This window comes from Homo sapiens, chromosome 8 (genome assembly GCF_000001405.40).
Source record: "Homo sapiens chromosome 8, GRCh38.p14 Primary Assembly".
Classification (NCBI taxonomy): Eukaryota; Metazoa; Chordata; class Mammalia; order Primates; family Hominidae; genus Homo; species Homo sapiens.
The window spans coordinates 99,555,532-99,576,284 of NC_000008.11; the positions used below are offsets into that span (position 1 = coordinate 99,555,532).

General features: G+C 36.4%; 1 protein-coding gene across 2 annotated transcripts in view; it reads left to right on the forward strand.

Moving 5' to 3' along the window:
• The window catches only part of VPS13B (vacuolar protein sorting 13 homolog B), an 864,307-nt gene that overhangs the window by 542,258 nt on the left and 301,296 nt on the right, over positions 1-20,753 (forward strand). For both annotated transcript variants that reach the window (NM_152564.5, NM_017890.5), the window contains exons 31-32: positions 919-1,122; positions 20,127-20,253. In NM_152564.5, coding sequence (NP_689777.3) covers positions 919-1,122; positions 20,127-20,253 — 331 coding nt within the window. The remainder of the gene's footprint in view (positions 1-918; positions 1,123-20,126; positions 20,254-20,753) is intronic.

The following is a 20,753-nucleotide window of genomic DNA, read 5'->3' on the forward strand; positions in this document are numbered from 1 at the left end:
GGGGGCCAAAAGCTATTTTTTCTTTTGATCATCTACTTTAAAACTTTTCTGAACCAACAAAACTTAACATAAGAAAAAAGCCCCAAATTCAGGCAGACTTAAGTTTTCTCTGGCTCTCAAACTTTGTGCTTCCCACCCTACCTTATTGCCTTGCTATTTTACTCTAAAACCTTCATGAAAATTTTTATGTATTTACTTCCTTTAATTTAACTTTACAGATTATTTTATTCATTTACTTAGCAGTGGACCCAATAGGATCAACGTTGTATGTTCCAACTCTATATAGGGCAGTAAACCTCTCTGTTATTCTACATCAGAAACCTTGTCATTTCTCAACAACTACATTTGGGTTATATAAAGAATGAAGAGCAAGGGTTGAAGGGGTGAAATAGATTAAGAAGGCTCCATTACCTTTCCTAACAAGAAATCAAAGCTCAGAAGAAAGTAGACGATTAGCAAGGGAAAGGGTTTTGAGTAAAAAACAAAAAACAAACAAACAAAAAACCCTGTATTTGTGTTGTAGTTTTGTCCCATACTAGTTTTGTAACTTTAGCTGTCTTTCAAACTCTGTGAATTATTTTCTCATTGGTAAAAATGGACATAAAATAGAACCTCAGAGCATCTCAGGGATTGAAATCATGTATGTGAGAGTACTTAGAAAAAGAGTAACGTGCCAGGAATAACATAATAAATCATTATAGTGTAGATTACTGTAAGTGATAAGTTTTGGATATGTTTTCAAGTCATAATATGTACTAACTTTCTGAAACCTTTTTCATAGATGTGCCCCAGTTTATTCATCAGTAATCCAAAGGAAAAAAATGGTATTGACACTATGTTAGTGAACAAAATAAACATAGAATGGTTATTTTATCTGTTTTCTTGTTTTTATTTTTGTTTTTTTCGCTGCCTTTACAGGAGAGCCTTGAACTTAGGAATTCTTCGAGATCCTGGATCAGAAATCGAAGACAGACAATACCAAATAGATCTGCAGTCCATCAATATTGGTACTGCACAGTGGCATCAACTAAAACCAGAGAAGGAAAGTGTCTCAGGAGGGGTGGTAACAGAGACTGAAAGGAATTCTCAAAATCCAGCCCTTGAGTGGAATATGGCCAGCAGGTAGGAAATGATTGAGAAACTTTCTACTCTTTCTAATACTTCATTGCCAGAATAGTTGGTGATACAATCTTTAGCATGTCCAACCAACCTAAGTATTTTGGTATTGCTTCTGCTTTTCATTATAAGCATAAAAAATATTTTGTAATTGTAGCTGATGATTTGGCATGGAAACCTGCTAGTCCTACCAGTGTTACACTGAAATTATTACAAATTTAGGATTATGTTAGCATAGAAAAAAAAAGCTTACTATTTATTGAAAGAATCTACTTCAGGCTAAAGGATACACATTTTCTCTTAAAATCTATTGTATTTGGGGTCAATTGTTTGATGTTTAGACTCTCCTTTTTGCTTATAATAACAAGAAAAGTTAATGAATACTCTGCAAAGTTATGTTTAAGTTAGAGTGTGGGGAAAAACAAGAGTTTCTGGCTCTAGGGTTTTTTCCATCCACTTTAACTAAAAGCAACTATGTTGATAGATCTTTTTAAATTTTTTTTATTTCAATAGTTTTTTGGGTACAGGTAGTTTTGGGTTACATGTATAAGTTATTTAGGGGTGATTTCTGGGATCTTGGTACACCCATCACCTGAGTAGTATACACTGAGTCCAATATGTAGTCTTTTATCCCTCACTCCCCTTCCTCACCACCCCCACCCCTGAGTCCCCAAAGTCCATTATATCATTCTTATGACTTTGCATTCTCATAGCTTACCTCCCACTTATAAGTGAGAATATATGATACTTGGTTTTCCATTCCTGAGTTACTTCCCTTAGAATAATGGCCACCAGTTCCATCTAAGTTGCTGCAAAAGACATTGTTTCATTCTTTTTTATGGCTGAGTAGTAGACCATGGTGTATATATACCACATTTTCTTTATCCACTCATTGGTTGACGGGCACTTCGATTGTTTACACCTCTTTACAATTGCGAATTGTGCTGCTATTAACATGTGTGTGCATGTGTCTTTTTCATATAATGACTTATTTTCCTTTGAAAAGATACCTAGTGGTGAGACTGCTGGATTGAATGGTAGTTCTACTTTTAGTTCTTTAAGAAATCTCGTAGAGAACATTTTTAAAGGAAGTAGTCCTGAATGTGTACTCTTAACGATTTATAGTCACTGCCACCTTTCCCAGGCTACTTGTGGTTCTCATCGGAGAAATAGGTAGAATCATTTGCTAGAAAGGCGGTATTAGGCATTAAAGCTACATACCTTTATATTGTAAAACTAGAGGTCTTTATGATTTTAAGAAAGTATTAATTATTTTTCTTCTGCTTTTCTCTTTATAAAATAGAATCAGTAATACCTGTTGCTTGTAACATACCGTGGTGGTTTATTGATTGAATTTCTTGAAAACATCTTCTGAAGACTTCATTGTATGCCTTTTGCAATTCTGATTGCTTAGGTTCTGCCCTTTTCTACCAAAACTACATTTGTCCATGTCTTGGCAATAATAATAGCAGCAACATTAATAATGGATTATGCAACGCTTATCACTTTACCCAGTTTATTTAACTTAATTTTCACAATAATCCTACCAGGTAATAACTGTTATTTTCCCTAATTATACATGAAGAAACTAAGGCCTACAAAAGATAAATAATGTATCAAAAACCAAACAGTAAAATATAGTTTGTACTCCTTAGGTCTTTATATGTGATCTTCTCTGTACCTGTAACTGTCATAACCCACCCTCTTCACTTGCCTAGCTCCTATCATTTAGCAAGCCTCAGAGTAGACATCATGTTTTCTTTTTATTATTATTATTATGCTTTTAAGTTCTAGGGTACATGTGCACAACGTGCAGGTTTCTTACATATGAATACATGTGCCATGTTGGTGTGCTGCACCCATTAACTCATCATTTACGTTAGGTATTTCTCCTAATGCTATCTCTCCCCCCTACCCCCACCCCACAACAGGCCCCAGTATGTGATGCTCCCCACCCTGTGTCCAAGTGTTCTCATTGTTCAATTCCCACCTATGAGTGAGAACATGCGGTGTTTGGTTTTCTGTCCTTGCAATAGTTTGCTCACAATGATGGTTTCCAGCTTCATCCATGTCCCTACAAAGGACGTGAACTCATCCTTTTTTATGGCTGCATAGTATTCCGTGGGGTATATGTGCCACATTTTCTTAATCCAGTCTATCATTGATGGACATTTGGGTTGGTTCCAAGTCTTTGCTATTGTGAATAGTGCCACAATAAACATACGTGTGCATGTGTCTTTATAGCAGCATGATTTATAATCCTTTGGGTATATACCCAGTAATGGGATGGCTGGATCAAATGGTATTTCTAGTTCTAGATCCTTGAGGAATTGCCACACTGTCTTCCACAATGGTTGAACTAATTTACAGTCCCACCAACAGTGTAAAAGTGTTCCTATTTCTCCACATCCTCTCCAGCACCTGTTGTTTCCTGACTTTTTAATGATTGCCATTCTAACTGGTGTGAGATGGTATCTTATTTTGGTTTTGATTTGCATTTCTCTGATGGCCAGTGATGAGCATTTTTCATGTGTCTGTTGGCTGCATAAATGTCTTCTTTTGAAAAGTGTCTGTTCATATCCTTCACCCACTTTTTGATGGGGTTATTTGATTTTTTGTTGTAAATTTGTTTAAGTTCTTTGTAGATTCTGGATATTAGCCCTTTGTCAGATAGATAGATTGCAAAAATGTTCTCCCATTCTGTAGGTTGCCTCTTCACTCTGATGGTAGTTTCTTTTGCTGTGCAGAAGCTCTTTAGTTTAATTAGATCCCATTTGTCTATTTTCGCTTTTGTTGCCATTGCTTTTGGTGTTTTAGTCATGAAGTCCTTGCCCATGCCTGTGTCCTGAATGGTATTGCCTAGGTTTTCTTCTAGGGTTTTTATGGTTTTAGGTCTAACATTTAAGTCTTTAATCCATCTTGAATTAATTTTTGTATAAGGTGTAAGGAAGGGATTGAGTTTCAGCTTTCTACATATGGCTAGCCAGTTTTCCCAGCACCATTTATTATATAGGAAATCCTTTCCCCATTGCTTGTTTTTGTCAGGTTTGTCAAAGATCAGATGGTTGTAGATACGCGGCATTATTTCTGAGGGCTCTATTCTGTTCCATTGTTCTATATCTCTGTTTTGGTACCAGTACCATGCTGTTTTGGTTACTGTAGCCGTGTAGTATAGTTTGAAGTCAGGTAGCGTGATGCCTCCAGCTTTGTTCTTTTTGCTTAGGATTGACTTGGCAATGTGGGCTCTTTTTTGGTTCCATATGAACTTTAAAGTAGTTTTTTCCAATTCTGTGAAGAAAGTCATTGGTAGCTTGATGGGGATGGCATTGAATCTATAAATTACCTTGGGCAGTATGGCCATTTTCATGATATTGATTCTTCCTATCTGTGAGCATGGAATATTCTTCCATTTCTTTGTGTCCTCTTTTCTTTCATTGAGCAGTCGTCTGTAGTTCTCCTTAAAGAGGTCCTTCCCATCCCTTGTAAGTTGGATTCCTAGGTATTTTATTCTCTTTGAAGCAATTGTGAATGGGAGTTCACTCATGATTTGGCTCTCTGTTTGTCTGTTATTGGTGAATAGGAATGCTTGTGATTTTTACACATTGATTTTGTATCCTGAGATTTTACTGAAGTTGCTTATCAGCTTAAGGAGATTTTGGGCTGAGACGATGGGATTTTCTAAATATAAAATCATGGTAGACGTGTTTTCTAGGAAGCCTTCCCTGAGCCTGTCAGAAGACCAAGTTAAGTCTCATTTGTGTGTGCTCCTATCACATCACTTAACATATTTTATTCTAATTACTTATATAACTACCTCTGGGTCCTGAGGACAGAGATCATCGCCATCATGTTCATTGATTTATCCCTAGAACATAGCACTGCCGTATATAAAATGTATTATTGTAGTCCTTCACTGACAAGTGATTGAATGTGCCCCTGAGAAGGGGTGTAAATTTGGATGAAGAAGCACATACAGCCAGCCAGGGTAAATTTCAGAGAGGAATGCAATAATGGAGTCATCAGCATGCAACTTGCATGGCAGCTGGGAAGTGAATATTTTCATCATAAAGGAGAATCTTGGTGGCACACCACAGCATCAACTACACTAATCATAACCTCTAAATATCACATGATAGCATCCAGCTTCAAGCCTTCCTATTCCTTATCTTTACACAGTTTTCAGATTTAGGAGGTGCCAGCTTATAAAAGTCACAGGTTATTGTGTCTTAAAAATCACAAATTCTATCATAACAAAGAACATGAGCCTTATTTTTCTAGGAAATTTTATGGCCACCTAGCCTTAGTTGTATCTCTCCTATTTGTTCTTTAATTCATTTAACTTATGGTTTGTGTATGTGTGTATGTGTTTTAATAATTTATGGAGATAAATTCACATAACATAAAATTAACCATTTAAGGTGAACATTTAGTGGCATTTAGTACATTTACAATATTGAGCAACTACCACCTCTGTCTAGTTCCAAAACATTTTCTTCACCCCAAAGTAAAATCCGTTGCCTGGTAGGCAGTTTGTCTCTATCTTTCTCCCTCTTTCCAGTTCCTAGCAACCACCAATCTGCCTCTAAATTCACCAATCTGGATTTATCATGTCTGTATGAATTTATGTATTCTGGAGATTTTATATAAATAGAATCATATGATATGTGACCTTTTATATCTGGCCTCTTTCACTTAGCATACTGTTTTGTATATTCATCCAAATTGTAGCATATATCAGTATTTCAATCTTTTTATAGCCGAATAATATTCCACTGTGTGTATGTAAGTGATCTATGATTTATAATGGGTCAATTTAAGATTTTTCAACTTTATGATGATGCAAAAATAATAATGCATTCAGTAGAAACTGTACTTTGCATACCTGTACAGCCATTCCGGTTTTCACTTTCAGTACAGTATTCAATAACTACATGAGATATTCAGTGTTTTGGTATAAGCTAGGCTTTCTGTTAGATGATTTTGCCCAACCAAGGCCAATGTAAGTGTTCTGAACACATTTAAGATAGGCTAGGTTAAGCTATGATGTTTGATTGGTTAAGTGTATTAAATACATTCTTGACTTATGATGCATTCAACTTACAATGAGTTTGTCAGGATGGAACCCCATTATGAGTTGAGGATCATCTGTACACTACAATTTGTCTATCCATTTATCCACTGATGGACATTTGAGCTGTTTCTGCTTTTTGGCTACTGTGAATAATGTTGCTATGGATATTGCTGTACAAGTACCTGTTTTCACATATTTGGGTATACACCTAGAAGTAGAATTACAGGGTCATATGGCAATTTTATGTTCAGCTTTTTGAGAAACTGCCAAACTCTTTTCAACCATAAAATGGCTGAACCATTTTGTATTCCCACCAGCAATGTTTGAGGGTTCGTTTCTCCACATTCTTACTAATACTCACTTTTCTTTCTTTCTTTTGTTTTGTTTGTTTGTTTTTTGGTAAGCTAACACATCATCCTACTGGGTGTGAGGTGGTACATCATTGTGGTTTTCACTTACATCTCTATAATGATTAATGAACTTGAGCAGCTTTTTGTGTGCTTGTTGGCTGTTTGTGTATTTTCTTTGGAGAAAAGCTTATTTGTCTTTTGCCCCCCCCATCCCCACCCCACGCTTTTTTGAGACAGAGTCTTGCTTTGTCACCCAGGTTGGAGTGCAGTGGTATGATCTCAGCCCACTGTAACCTCTGCCTCCTGGGTTCAACCCATTTTCCTGCCTCATCCTCCCAAGTACCTGGGATGACAGGCATCTGCCACTGTGCCCTGCCAATTTTTGTATTTTTAGTAGAGATGGAGTTTCCCCAGGTTGGCCAGGCTGGCCTCGAACTTCTAACCTCAAGCGATCCACCAGCCTTAGCCTCCCAAAGTTCTGGGATTACCAGTGTGAGCCACCGCACCTGGCCTTTTGGCTGTTTTTTAATTGAGTTGCTTGACTTCTTGTTGATGAGTTGTAAGAGTTCTTTATTTATTCTAGATGCTATATCCTTATCAGATATATGATTTAGAAATTTTTTTATAATGGAATTTTTTTGTTTATGGTATGAGGTAAAGGTCCAATTTCATTTTTTAACATATGGGTTTCCGGTTGTGCTGTCATCATTTACTAAAGATACTAGTCTTTCCCCATTGAATGATCCTGTCACCCTCATCAAAAATTGACAGAGACTTTTGATGGCTGTGTGTGGTCAAAAATTAACAGAATTTTGATGGCTCATGCTTGTAATCCTAACATTTTGAGAGGCCAAAGCGGGAGGATCGCTTGAAGCCAGGAGTTTAAGATCAGCCTAGGCAACATAGTGAGACCTTGTCTCAACAACAACAACACAATTTTTTTAATTAGCAGGGCATGGTGGCATGCACCTATGGTCCTAGCTTCTCTTGAGGCTGAAGCAGGAGGATCAGTTAAGCCCAGGAGTTCAAGGCTGCATTGCGCTATGATCATGTCACTTCACCTCCATCCTCGTCAACAGAGCAAAACCCTGTCTCAAATAAATAAATGAGTAATAAAAAACACAGACTTTTGAATGTCTAGTGTATGCCATCAAAGGTCTTTTACACTGGAGAAACAAAATGAAATAATTTCTAATATTATTCTAGTATATGTCCTGTAAGAAGTTCAGCATCCAATCAAAGAAACAGACTTGCTATTTAACTATTAGAATGCAGTGTGAAGAATGCTATGATAGACAAATACAGCATAGTTAGGCTTACAGAAGAAACACATCCAAATCAAGATAAATATATTCCATATACATAGGAGATCTTAGGCACAGGCACATAAGCAAAAAGATAAATTAATGCAAAGTTCACATAGGTACAAAATAGTCAATCATTCATTTCTCTTTTTAAAAGAAAAAAAAGAGAAATGAATGATTGAGTCTATCGGTGGGGTTTCAGAGAAGGTTTCACAGAGTGCATGGCTTCTGAACTTGTTTCCACAGAGTATGGGTGCCTGCAGAGTAGAGGGAGCATTCCGAAGAAGGAAGCAGTAGATCCAGAGGCTAGAAGTATGAAAGTGTGGCATGTTTTATCTGGCACATAATGTCATGCTTGGCACATAACAGATACCAAATAAAGGCTAACTTAATTAATGACAGAGTGATGATTAAGTAGGGCCAACTAATCAAGAGACTGAATGTGAATGTTTATGAAAGATATTCATTCAAATAAAAACAGAAAATTTTAGATCTGTTGTAGCTTAGTTCTGATGATTAATCTTGACAGACGTATAAATAGGACTTTAATATAATTCTGTTTCTGAATAGGTAATATAGATGAAATTCAAAAGATATAATGAAGAGTAATGTGTTTACTTCCCTGACCAATATTAAATGGCAACCTTTATAATGATTTTCATTCATTCCTCTGGGTACATTACTCAAATTTTGTCTTTAATTGTGATGTGCTTCTATGTGTATGTTGTAGGGAGTGGGGAGTAGGGAAGTTAAGTGTAGAGAATCATCAGATTTTAAAACTTGAAGATCTTCTGTTCCTAAAACCTTAATTTTTTTTTATTCCAAAGGAATATATCATGGTTTAATTAAGGCAGCAGAACCAATAGAGTATTACAGAGTAAGAGATTCATTTTAGGCATAAAATCTTACCCAGTTGTAGAAAAAGCTGAGAAGTAAAGGTCCAGAAGAGGGAGTTGAAGGATCAAAGTCACAACCAACCCTCCTGAAGCACTTGACCTGGTTAAAAACTTTGGAGCTTTCAAGAACCTGGGAAACATCCGGCAGCACATCCAACTGGTGGACTGAAACCACCAGAGAGCTGATAGACATTAATGGGAGGCTGTGGCCTCTGCATCTGGGGTAAGGCCGGGAGGCTGGAGTTGCTGTTGTTCAGCAGGGTCAAGAGTCAGGAAGAAGAAGTGATCACAGAGACAGGAAAAGTGAGAACAAGCCAGAATCTGCCAGCACCTTTCCATTGGTCTTTCACTGCATTTAAAACATGAAGACTTGCAAAGAATATTGGCTATTATTTCCCTCCATCTTCCAAATGTTGTTAAGGTTCCTCTTTTGCAAAACTCTAAACTCTGAATTATTCTTAGGAAGTTGTTATAAAACAAAAACTACAGTAAACTAAATTTGAAGTGGTTCTTTGGCTTGTCCAGTGTCACAAAAAATAGAGCTATGTGTAGAACCTTGGTTTCCTTCCTCTTACTAGTCAACTACTTTTCTTCTGCTCAAGGCTCAGACCTCGTAGGCTTGTGCTAAAGTCCATTGTTAGCTAATCACTTTCTTTTTCTTTTTCTCTTAGCAACATTTTTGCTACATCTGGGTTTATTTTATAATCTGAGGAAATGTACTGATGTCTGCCATGTGCAGTTTGCACATTCAAGTGACTTGCTGCTTTATATGGATACTAGTGCTTTAGGGGGAGGTGGAAAGTTTATCTTATGATTACCTGAAAGTACCACTAAGTCTTAATTCTCCAAGTTAATATTGATATAATTTTCTCATGTATAATATTTAAAGATATAATTCTAATAGACTTTGCAAAAGTACACTTAAAAGTAAATAATTTTGTTTTGATCATAATACTTTTATTTCTTCCTATCTCTGACTTGATTTTGTTAGGTAATTTATCTTTTAAACTTCATTGTCAGAGAAATAGTTACAGCATATTTGTTTGTTAAAATATTTTTATATACACATAATAAATTACATGTAATACTCTGTGGGCTTTTTTTTTTTTACACATAAAGAATTTTAAAAATTGTTGTTACTATGTTTGCTTAGCAAGCTGACTTTGAATCTGACATGACATATTCCTAAAGTTCATCAGTCTTATACTTCTCAGGATTGGTAACATTGAATATGGGGAACTATGGCTATGTGTAGGCATTAAAATTCCTAAACCATATATTTCTAGCTTTATTTCTGAGAGATTACGACTATTCTCTGTGTCCTTAGATCTCTTTTATTTTTATTTTTGAGACTATTCCCCAAATGTTCACACCGCACAGGACCCCCAGCATAGTTTGATTAGTGATTAATCAAACATGAGATTTTTTCCAGAATTGCATCTGGAATTGTAGATAGGAATATGGAAAGAAAGAAGTTTTCTTTGTTTTAAATTTTCAACCTGAAAAACATCACTTTTATCTTACTAATTTGTGAGGACGTCAAGCTAAGACCTAAGCAAAATTTGGGCACAGTGGCTCATGCTGGGCACAGTGGTCTCTCACTACTTTGGGAGGCCAAATCTAATTCTCATACTTTGTAGGTTAATGCCTAGATTGACCTAAACCTACTTGAATGATATGATTTTATAATTTCCTTAAACCTTACCATGCCTTTACATGAAAAATGTGAATTTTTCTTCCTGCCTAAAAAGTTCCTGGAAAGTGAGTGGGAAGGCAAAAGGATTCATGTTACAACAGGAGGCAGCAGTTGGTTTTTCATGCTTAGCAGCCAGCAGATATCTTCTTCCTTACATGTTGGCTGAGAGTGTCCTGTGGCAATATAAAAAGATGGTGTAGATATAACAGGGCAGAGATCCTGTCTTGCCTGGTCTTACTCTTCTTTATATCTTAGTGTAGTTACTGACTGATATAGTAGGCACTAAAAAATAAGAAAATGTTTAAATTGTATATAATTATCATGGTAGCATACGATAAAATTTTAAAATCTTCTGTATTTTCAATTACTTTACAGTCATCTTACAGCTAAGATGGATGGATAGATAATGCCTTGATTCATTGAAACCCAACTGACCAAAGCCCTAAATAGCCAGTTTCCCTCCTATGGTGTTTTCTTCTTCTTTTTTTTTTTTTGAGATGGAGTCTCACTCTGTCACTCAGGCTGGAGTGTAGTGGTGCAGTCTCAGCTCACTGCAGTCTCCGCCTCCTGGGTTCAAGCAATTCTCCTGCCTCTCAGCCTCCTGAGTAGCTGGAATTACAGGCATGTGCCGCCACGCCCAGCTGATTTTTGTATTTTTAGTAGAGACGGGGTTCCACCATGTTGGCCAGGCTGGTCTTGAACTCCTGACCTCAGGTGATCCACCAGCCTTGGCCTCCCAAAGTAGTGAGAGGCCACTGTGCCCAGCGTGAGCCACTGTGCCCAGCCATGGTGTTTTCTTTTTAAGAGAAGGGGCCAAACAGGATTATATCAAGAATGTATTTTAAAAGCATTTGTACAACATGTAACTTTTATACATTATCCTGTATAATTCTGTGAGCACTATAACTGGTACAACAGTACATACTATTGAAGTTTACTGGTTTATTTATGAATGACAGGGTCTCACTGTGTCACTTATAGTTCACTGTGTTGTGATCATAGTTCACTGTAACCTCCAACTCCTGGGCTCTAACGATCCTCCTGCCTCATCCTCCCAAAGCACTGGATTATAGGTGTGAGCCACTGTACCCAGCCATATTATTGAAGCTTTAAAAATGAAATTTAAAAAATCTCCTGACCTTCTCTCCCTTAGTATATTCCTATCTAAATCCTCAACACAGTTTCTAATGTTCTCTTCTCTGAGAAACATTCAGCAATACCCCTAGTCGCTCCCTCTTCCATGAAGTTTTTTTTTAAGCTTTTCCTTTGAAAAGTTCTAACAAGTAAAATTAGATGACCAGCAGTTCCAGGTTATAGATATAAACAACTGGAATCAGAGCTATTATCCATTGGACATCTCAGTAAAATTGAATTAAGTTAATATTTTAATTTAGTATGCTCATAAAACTGTCTTCTAGATATTGTAATAAATAGACGTAGCACTTGTGATCTCCATTACAAATATATTAACCTTTGTTTTGTTCTTTTGTTTTGGCAGGAAAGTTTTTGTTGGTGTTTTTTTTTTTTCAAGAATGAGAATATTTTATTTTAACATTATTTAATTTTGCCGAACTAAATTTATACTGATACTTTCTTTAAATGTACCTTAAAAATCATCATTTCAAGCTGTAGTTCTTGTAGCATTGTGCACAAGATGCTTTATATGTCTTTATAGATTCTTTGTGTATGTTCAGCACCTTGAGATAAAAGATTAGGTCCCCTATTGAGTATTTCCACACCTCTCTGTACTTTCCTTATTATTATACTTATCATACCTTATGATTACTTTGTTTAGTTATCTTTCCTGCTAAACTGAATTCCGTGAGAAACAACATTATGTATCCATTTTTGCCATTGTTGTTTCAGCACCTAGCAAAGGACCTGGCACCATAGGGAGCCCTCAATCCATGTTTCTCAATTTCAGAGTAATAAATGCTATGAAAATAATATAACTGGGTAATATAATAAGAGTAATTGGGAAATTTCCTTAGATTGGAGCTCAGGGAAGGCCCCTTCTAATACCTGAATGACAAAAATGAGCTATCTGTTCAAATACACCTGGAGTGTTTCTGCTGAGAGTGTTTTAGGAAGAGCAAAGACACTCGAGTAGGAACAAGTTGAGCACGTTTAAGGGTTCATGCCTGGCTGGGAGGAAAGAAGTAATAGCAGAGGAGTTTTAGGGAGAAAAGGGCTAAATAATGAACGGTTTTGTAAGTCAGAGAGAGTTTGAATTTTATTTTAATTGCATTTGAAAGTCATTGGATAGTGCTCTTGTTGAAAAAAAAGCCTCTAAATGGATATATACCGATAACTATTATTATTATTATTATTATTATTTTTTTTTGAGACGGAGTCTTGCTCTGTCACCCAGGCTGGAGTGCAGTGGTGCAATCTCGTCTCACTGCAGCCTCTGCCTCCCGGGTTCAAGCGATTCTCTTGCCTCAGCCTCCGAAGTAGCTGGGACTACAGGCCCACGCCACCACGCCTGGCTAACTTTTGTATTTTTTGTAGAGATGGGGTTTTACCATGTTGGCCAGACTGATCTTGAACTCCAGGCCTCAGGCAATCCACCCACCTCGGCCTCCCAAAGTGCTAGTATTACAGGTATGAGTCACCATGCCTGGCCAACTATTTCATTTTTTAAGTTCCTATAGGATTTAAATTATTTATCTTTATGCCTCCCATTAATATAAACAGAAGAATATCTAGGAATAGGTTTATGTAACACATAGTTTTCCAGGTAGCAGATTGTTTATAATAAATGTTTGGGAATGTTACTGTTTTCATATTTAGGAATAACTACTGTAAGAGATGGTCTCAGGTGATAACCACAAGTTTTTTTTTGTTTTTTTGTTTTTTTTTTTTGAGATGGAGTCTTGCTCTATCGCCCAGGCTGGAGTGCAGTGGCGCAATTTTGGCTCACTGCAAGCTCTGTCTCCCGGGTTCACGCCATTCTCCTGCCTCAGCCTCCCGAGTAGCTGGGGCTACAGGCGCCCGCCACCACGCCCGGCTAATTTTTTTTGTTGTTGTTGTATTTTTAGTAGAGACGGGGTCTCACCATGTTAGCCAGGATGGTCTCGATCTCCTGACCTCGTGATCCGCCTGCCTCGGCCTCCCAAAGTGCTGGGATTACAGGTGTGAGCCACCACGCCTGGCCGATTACCACAAGTTTTAAGTATCTTCTGCTCTAGCATCTTCCATCTAAAGTTCAGCCATAATGACATACTAAGAAAATCTTTATGTTGCATAAGAATTGCTCTGTGCACCAGCCTGGGCAGCATGGCGAAACCCCGTCTCTACAAAAAATACAAAAATTAGCCGGGTGTGCAGTCCACACACTTATAGCCCTAACTACTTAGGAGGCTGAGGTACTGGGATGACTTGAGCCCAGGAGGCAGAGGTTGCAGTGAGCCAAGATCATGCCACTCCACTCTAGCCTGGGTGACAAAGACAGAGGGAGACCCTTTCTCATACACAAAAGGGAAAAAAAAAAAAAGAAAAAAGAATTGCTCTGTGCACACAGACCATCTAGCATTTCTTATTCTGACTTTTTTGGTGGAATATTTTGGGAACCTTGGTACCACTTTTCCTACTTCTGGTCTTTCATAATATGCAGTTTTTGAAGTGTGATTCTTAAACTCCTTTAGTATTTCCCACAAAGGCATACCAAAATGTATGACAGATGGGCAGAAGAACCTTAGTGTAAATATTCTGAGTCCAAGAAAGATGACCACAGCCTTTCTGACACATGTGTTTTCTTGAGTGCATGTGGCATACACCTGTGCCTTCTTGCTTAGTAACAATTTCAGAGAACTATACTTTTTTTTTGTTTACAATCTATACCTCCCAAAGCTTACTAGAACAGCTTTTGCCAACTCACATGATTATTTTTCTGTTATTTGCTTAGAACCTTAAAATAGTCAATGTTTTGTTATTTTCATCGAGGGTTTAATAAATTTCTATGGACATAATCCTCTATATTACTACATGATAGGTACAGATAATTATACCATTTCTTTGTTTATGTGGACAATATAGACATACATTAAACCATTGTTTTATTGGAGTACATCAGCGAATTATTGATTCTACAGCTCCTATAACCCTATGTGCCTTGGAATGCTGTAATCTGTTTTCTCCAGCTGAATTTAATATCTTTTCATCATCATGGGTGATGAGCAGTTTCACCAAGATATGTCTGCTTGTGGATTTCCTTGTATTTGTCTGAACCAGGACACACTGTGCTTCCTGAGTCTATGAATTCTTATATTTCATCATTTCTGGGAAAATCCTCAGCTATTTTTTCTTTAGTATTTTCTCTTTTCCTTTCTTTCTGTTCTCTCATTTTGGAATTCTAGTTATATATGTTGGACTCATCTCTCCATGTCTCTTCGTTTTCCTTTTAAACTTTGCATTTTAAAATTTATTTTAGTACATTCTGGAATTTTCTCAAATCTATATTCTAGTCTTAAGATATATCTAAATGCTATTTATCCCACCTATTATGTCTTTAACTTTAGTAACTGTATTTTTTATTTTTGGAAATTCTCTTTGGTTGTTTTTGAAACCTGATTTGCCCTTTTGAATAGTGCCTTGCTTTTTTTCTTATGTTTTTTTAATTCTGTATGTTTTTAGTAATTTTAAGCAAAATTTTTATTGTAATTTAGTATCTATTAAAATTTTATTATCAAAAGTTCTTGATAATGCTTTTGAAAATGGGATCTAATTTTCCTCTTGCTAATAAGGATTTTTATGTATATATAAAATAGTCTGTATTAGAAGCTTATCTTCAATGATCTTTTTCCCTTGAGTATCCTTTTTGTCATTGAGGACATGTTTTCTAGAGAGGTTTTGCATCTGTTTCTGACAGATGCCCCAGGGTTATCAAAATTCTGGTGCTACTGCTGTATAAATAACAGAAGGGGTATTTGAGGACCACCCAGGTAATATAAGTTAGAGCCACTTAATACATGTAGGATATTTCTCATTATTTTTAATTTTCCAGGGAGATATTTGTTTTTTCAACAAGCTCTCTTGCCAAGACAGGCAAACTTTCTTATTCTTTCCTGTTTCTGATGGGTTGATGTTTTTCTGGCCCTTCAGGGGCCCCAGATCTAGGTAGGCAGCTCATTTAAAAATCCTTGCCTTATCTCAAATACCTGTTAAACTCTGTTCCCTTGATTCATTAAGAGTGCTGACCCTCTCAATTTAATGACCCTAAGGTCATTAACAACCTCAGTTAATACTTTGTGTTTTAGTTCCTTCTTTTGAATTTTGAAACTTAGACTGTTATATGGTAAAATATTGACAGAATTTAATTCTTAATTGTAGTTATTCAGTGTTTCTTTTCTGTTTTTCTTTTGAATTTATTCCTGAAAATATTTGAATCTGTAAAGATTTTCAATGATTTTTAAAAATATTTACCATTACCTCAAATATTTACCAGAGATATCATAAAACTTAATACTATATACCAGAAAAATAATAGTTTTATAAGACTACTGACTTATTTATATTTTGTTACTACTTCTAAGGTCAAAGGTCTTTCATATTTTGTGTTACTGATTTAATTTATCACATGATGGAGAGAAATGTATAATATGGACAAGTACCCTTTTTTTCATTGCCCTTGGTTGTTAGTGTTTGCTCTTATTTGGTTCCCTGCCAACTTTTCCATTTTAAGGTATTTTTAATACATCATATATTTTAGCACTCCCCTATGAGAGCACATCAGATGTTATATGTTTCTCACATTGGTCATTTTATGGAATTTGAGCTATTAGGCTATAATTATGATGTCTCTCAGGATCTCAACCCTTCCTCTGTAGTCACAGATTTTAATACTTCTTCCGGTTACTCTCTACTCACCAGATCTCTTAATTCTTTAGAATTGACTTTCTTGAAATCCAATACTTATGTGTCATAGAACCAGATGATCCAATTTGCTTTTTTGGCAGACACCATATAGAGCTCTGCTCATTGCAAGTTTAACAAAAGACCAGAGTATTCTCTGGACTACTCTGATAAAAACAAAAAATGGTGTAGAAAGACTTGAATTTTAACTAGGCTTTTTCATGAGATAATTTATGCCAATTCTCTGATTTGAACTTTATCATTTTATGATATAAGGGAATAATAAGGGCATATTTAAAAGGAATATTAAGTTAATAGCTTGAAGGGAAATTTGAGGTATGGCTTGCTAACGAAACATAAATGTATTATTAGTTGATAAAATGAAAACTAAGAATATACGCAGTGGACTTGAAGATCTATACCAGCACAAACTTTGCTTTCTCAATAATGTTTTCCAGTTTCATCTTTTACCATGTACTTCCTTTGAAATTAATAATTTTTTTATTATTATACTTTAAGTTCTAGGGTAGATGTGCACAACGTGCAGGTTTGTTACATATGTATACATGTGCCATGTTGGTTTGCTGCACCCATTAACTCATCATTTACATTGGGTATATCTCCTAATGCTTTCCCTCCCCCCACCCCACAACAGGCCCTGCTGTGTGATGTTCCCCACCCTGTGTCCAAGTGTTCTCATTGTTCAATTCCCACCTATGAGTGAGAACATTCGGTGTTTGGTTTTTTGTTCTTGCAATAGTTTGCTGAGAATGATGGTTTCCAGCTTCATCCATGTCCCTACAAAGGACGTGAACTCATCATTTTTATGGCTGCATAGTATTCCATGGTGTATATGTGCCACATTTTCTTAATCTAGTCTATCATTGATGGATATTTGGGTTGGTTCCAAGTCTTTGCTATTGTGAATAGTGCCGCAGTAAACATACGTGTGCATGTGTCTTTATAGCAGCATGATTTATAATCCTTTGGGTATATACCCAGTAATGGGATGGCTGGGTCAAATGGTATTTCTAGTTCTAGATCCTTGAGGAATCGCCACACTGTCTTCCACAATGGTTGAACTAATTTACAGTCCCACCAACAGTGTAAAAGTGTTCCTATTTCTCCACATCCTCTCCAGCACCTGTTGTTTCCTGACTTTTTAATGATTGCCATTCTAACTGGTGTGAGATGGTATCTCATTGTGGTTTTGTTTTGCATTTCTCTGATGACCAGTGATGATGAGCATTTTTTCACATGTTTTTTGGCTGCATAAATGTCTTCTTTTGAGAAGTGTCTGTTCATATCTTTTGCCCACTTTTTGATGGGGTTGCTTTTTTCTTGTAAATTTGTTTGAGTTCTTTGTAGATTCTGCATATTAGCCCTTTGTCAGATGAGTAGCTTGCAAAAATTTTCTCCCATTCTGTAGGTTGCCTGTTCACTCTGATAGTAGTTTCTTTTGCAGTGCAGAAGCTCTTTAGTTTAATTAGATCCCATTTGTCAATTTTGGCTTTTGTTGCCATTGCTTTTGTTGTTTTAGACATGAAGTCCTTGCCCATGCCTATGTCCTGAAAGGTATTGCCTAGGTTTTCTTCTAGGGTTTTTATGGTTTTAGGTCTAACATTTAAGTCTTTAATCCATCTTGAATTAATTTTTGTATAAGGTGTAAGGAAGGGATTGAGTTTCAGCTTTCTACATATGGCTAGCCAGTTTTCCCAGCACCATTTATTAAAAAGGGAATACTTTCCCCATTTCTTGTTTTTGTCAGGTTTGTCAAAGATCAGATGGTTGTAGATACACTGCATTATTTCTGAGGGCTCTGTTCTGTTCCATTGGTCTATATCTCTGTTTTGGTACCAGTACCATGCTGTTTTGGTTACTATAGCCTTGTAGTATAGTTTGAAGTCAGGTAGCGTGATGCCTCCAGCTTTGTTCTTTTTGCTTAGGATTGTCTTGGCAATGAGGGCTCTTTTTTGGTTCCATATGAACTTTAAAGTAGTTTTTTCCAATTCTGTGAAGAAAGTCATTGGTAGCTTGATGGGGATGGCATTGAATCTATAAATTACCTTGGGCAGTATGGCCATTTTCATGATATTGATTCTTCCTATCCATGAGCATGGAATGTCCTTCCATTTGTTTATATCCTCTTTTCTTTCGTTGAGCAGTGGTTTGTAGTTCTCCTTGAAGAGGTCCTTCCCATCCCTTGTAAGTTGTATTCCTAGGTATTTTTTTCTCTTTGAAGCAATTGTGAATGGGAGTTCACTCATGATTTGGCTCTCTGTTTGTCTGTTATTTGTGGATAAGAATGCTTGTGATTTTTGCACATTGATTTTGTATCCTGAGACTTTGCTGAAGTTGCTTATCAGCTTAAGGAAATTTTGGGCTGAGAGGATGGGGTTTTCTAAATATACAATCATGTCGTCTGCAAACGGGGACAATATGACTTCCTCTTTTCCTAATTGAATATCCTTTATTTCTTTCTCCTGCCTGATTGCCCTGGCCAGAACTTCCAACACTATGTTGAATAGGAGTGGTGAGAGAGGGCATTCCCTGTCTTGTGCCAGTTTTCAAAGGGAATGCTTCCAGTTTTTGCCCATTCAGTATGATATTGGCTTGGGTTTGTCATAAATAGCCCTTATTATTTTGAGAAATGTCCCATCAATACCTAATTTATTGAGAGTTTTTAGCATGAAGCGTTGTTGAATTTTGTCAAAGGCCTTTTCTGCATCTATTGAGATAATCACGTGGTCTTTGTCTTTGGTTCTGTTTATATGCTGGATTGTGAAATTATTAATAATTTTAAATTTCAGGTAAAAATATTCTGCTAAATAACTGATGAAAGCTGGGAATACATAAAGAAGAACTAAAATAGAGGCCAAAAGCTGTTTTGGTGTCAACTTGCCCTCCAGGTCCAATTCTGGAACCTTTGTTCTCATTGTGTAGCCTTAGCCCAGTACTTGAACTTCATTTCCTTACAGATAATAATGGGGCTATTAACAGTCCCTACTTTACATACAGGATTGTTTTCAGGAAGCATTTAATATCTCACACAAAAACCTTAACAGCTGGACATGGTGGCTCAACACTTGTAATCCCAGCACTTTGAGAGTCCTAGGCAGGAGAATTGCTTGAGCCTAGGAGTTCAAGACCAGCCTGGGCAACGTGAGGAGACTCTGTCTCTAGAAAAAATAAAAATAAATTAGCCAGGCATGGTGGTACATTCCTGTGGTCCCAGCTACTCAGGAGGCCAAGGTGGGAGGATCACTTGCGCCCAGGAGATTGAGGCTACAGTGAGCCATGATTGCACCACTGCACTCCAGCCTAGGTGACAGAGCAAGACCTTGTCTTAAAAAAAAATGAATTAACATTGTTCTTAGACCTTAAAAAGAAAAGAATTCAAAGACTAAAAGGATATGCTTATGACCCTAATGAGGTCAGCAAGACAGCAGTTATCAAATAGAAGGTCAGATATTAAAAATAGGAAATGAAAAATTATTCCAAAAAATAGTAAGATTATTGGTGGTAACAAAAGTGATATGAAACTATTTGCAAGAACAAAAAGGAGTAAAAATTTAAAAATTAATTTGTTAAAAAGTCCTGGGATGATACTAATATGAAATTGCTTAATTACACCTTAATTTCTCAAGATGTTTTCATCTTTTGTAAATCTTATGGAATTGAAGTTAAGAAACGATGACTGTAAAATATGCAAATAGGCACTCTCAAAATAATAATGTAATTTTGCCATACATGTTTGTAGTACAAAGACTTGTACAAATTTAATGAAAATTGTCTTTGAAAATAATGAAATGGCTAATAATCTTTTACTCTATCTTTTAGCATACGGCGGCATCAAGAAAGGAGAGCAATTTTGACCCCCGTTTTGACAGATTTTTCTGTCCGAATAACTGGAGCACCTGCTGTCATTTTCACCAAAGTAGTTTCTCCAGAAAATTTGCATACTGAGGTTAGAACATAATTTTGATTTTATTTTAGTCTAAATAATGGAATTGCTCCTCTTTGTATGTTAGGGATTGCCACAGTTTCAGCCCATAGGACTTCAAATTAGCTCATTAATAATAATGGCTACTATCATAGCTAACATTTATGGAGCACTTTGTAGTACTCTTCAGTTATTGCTTTCCTTGTAATAACTCATTTAGTCCTCATAATAATCTTATTTGCTACTCCTCATATCCGTATTTTGTAGATGACAAAACTGAGGCATAGAGGAGCTAACCAAGCTACCCAGATTGTTATGCATACCTTAGTTGCCTCATATATAGCTACTCTTGTTGCCCTCTAGATTGTCATAAGGTTCAAACTGATCAATAGAAGAAATAATTATAAGAGGAATCTGAGAAGCTAAAGTTCTATAAAAATGAAAATTATCCTTGTTTTTATATTATTAGCTGCTAATCCTACCAATTGCATTCATACTATTTAACCTACTAGTATAAGATCAAT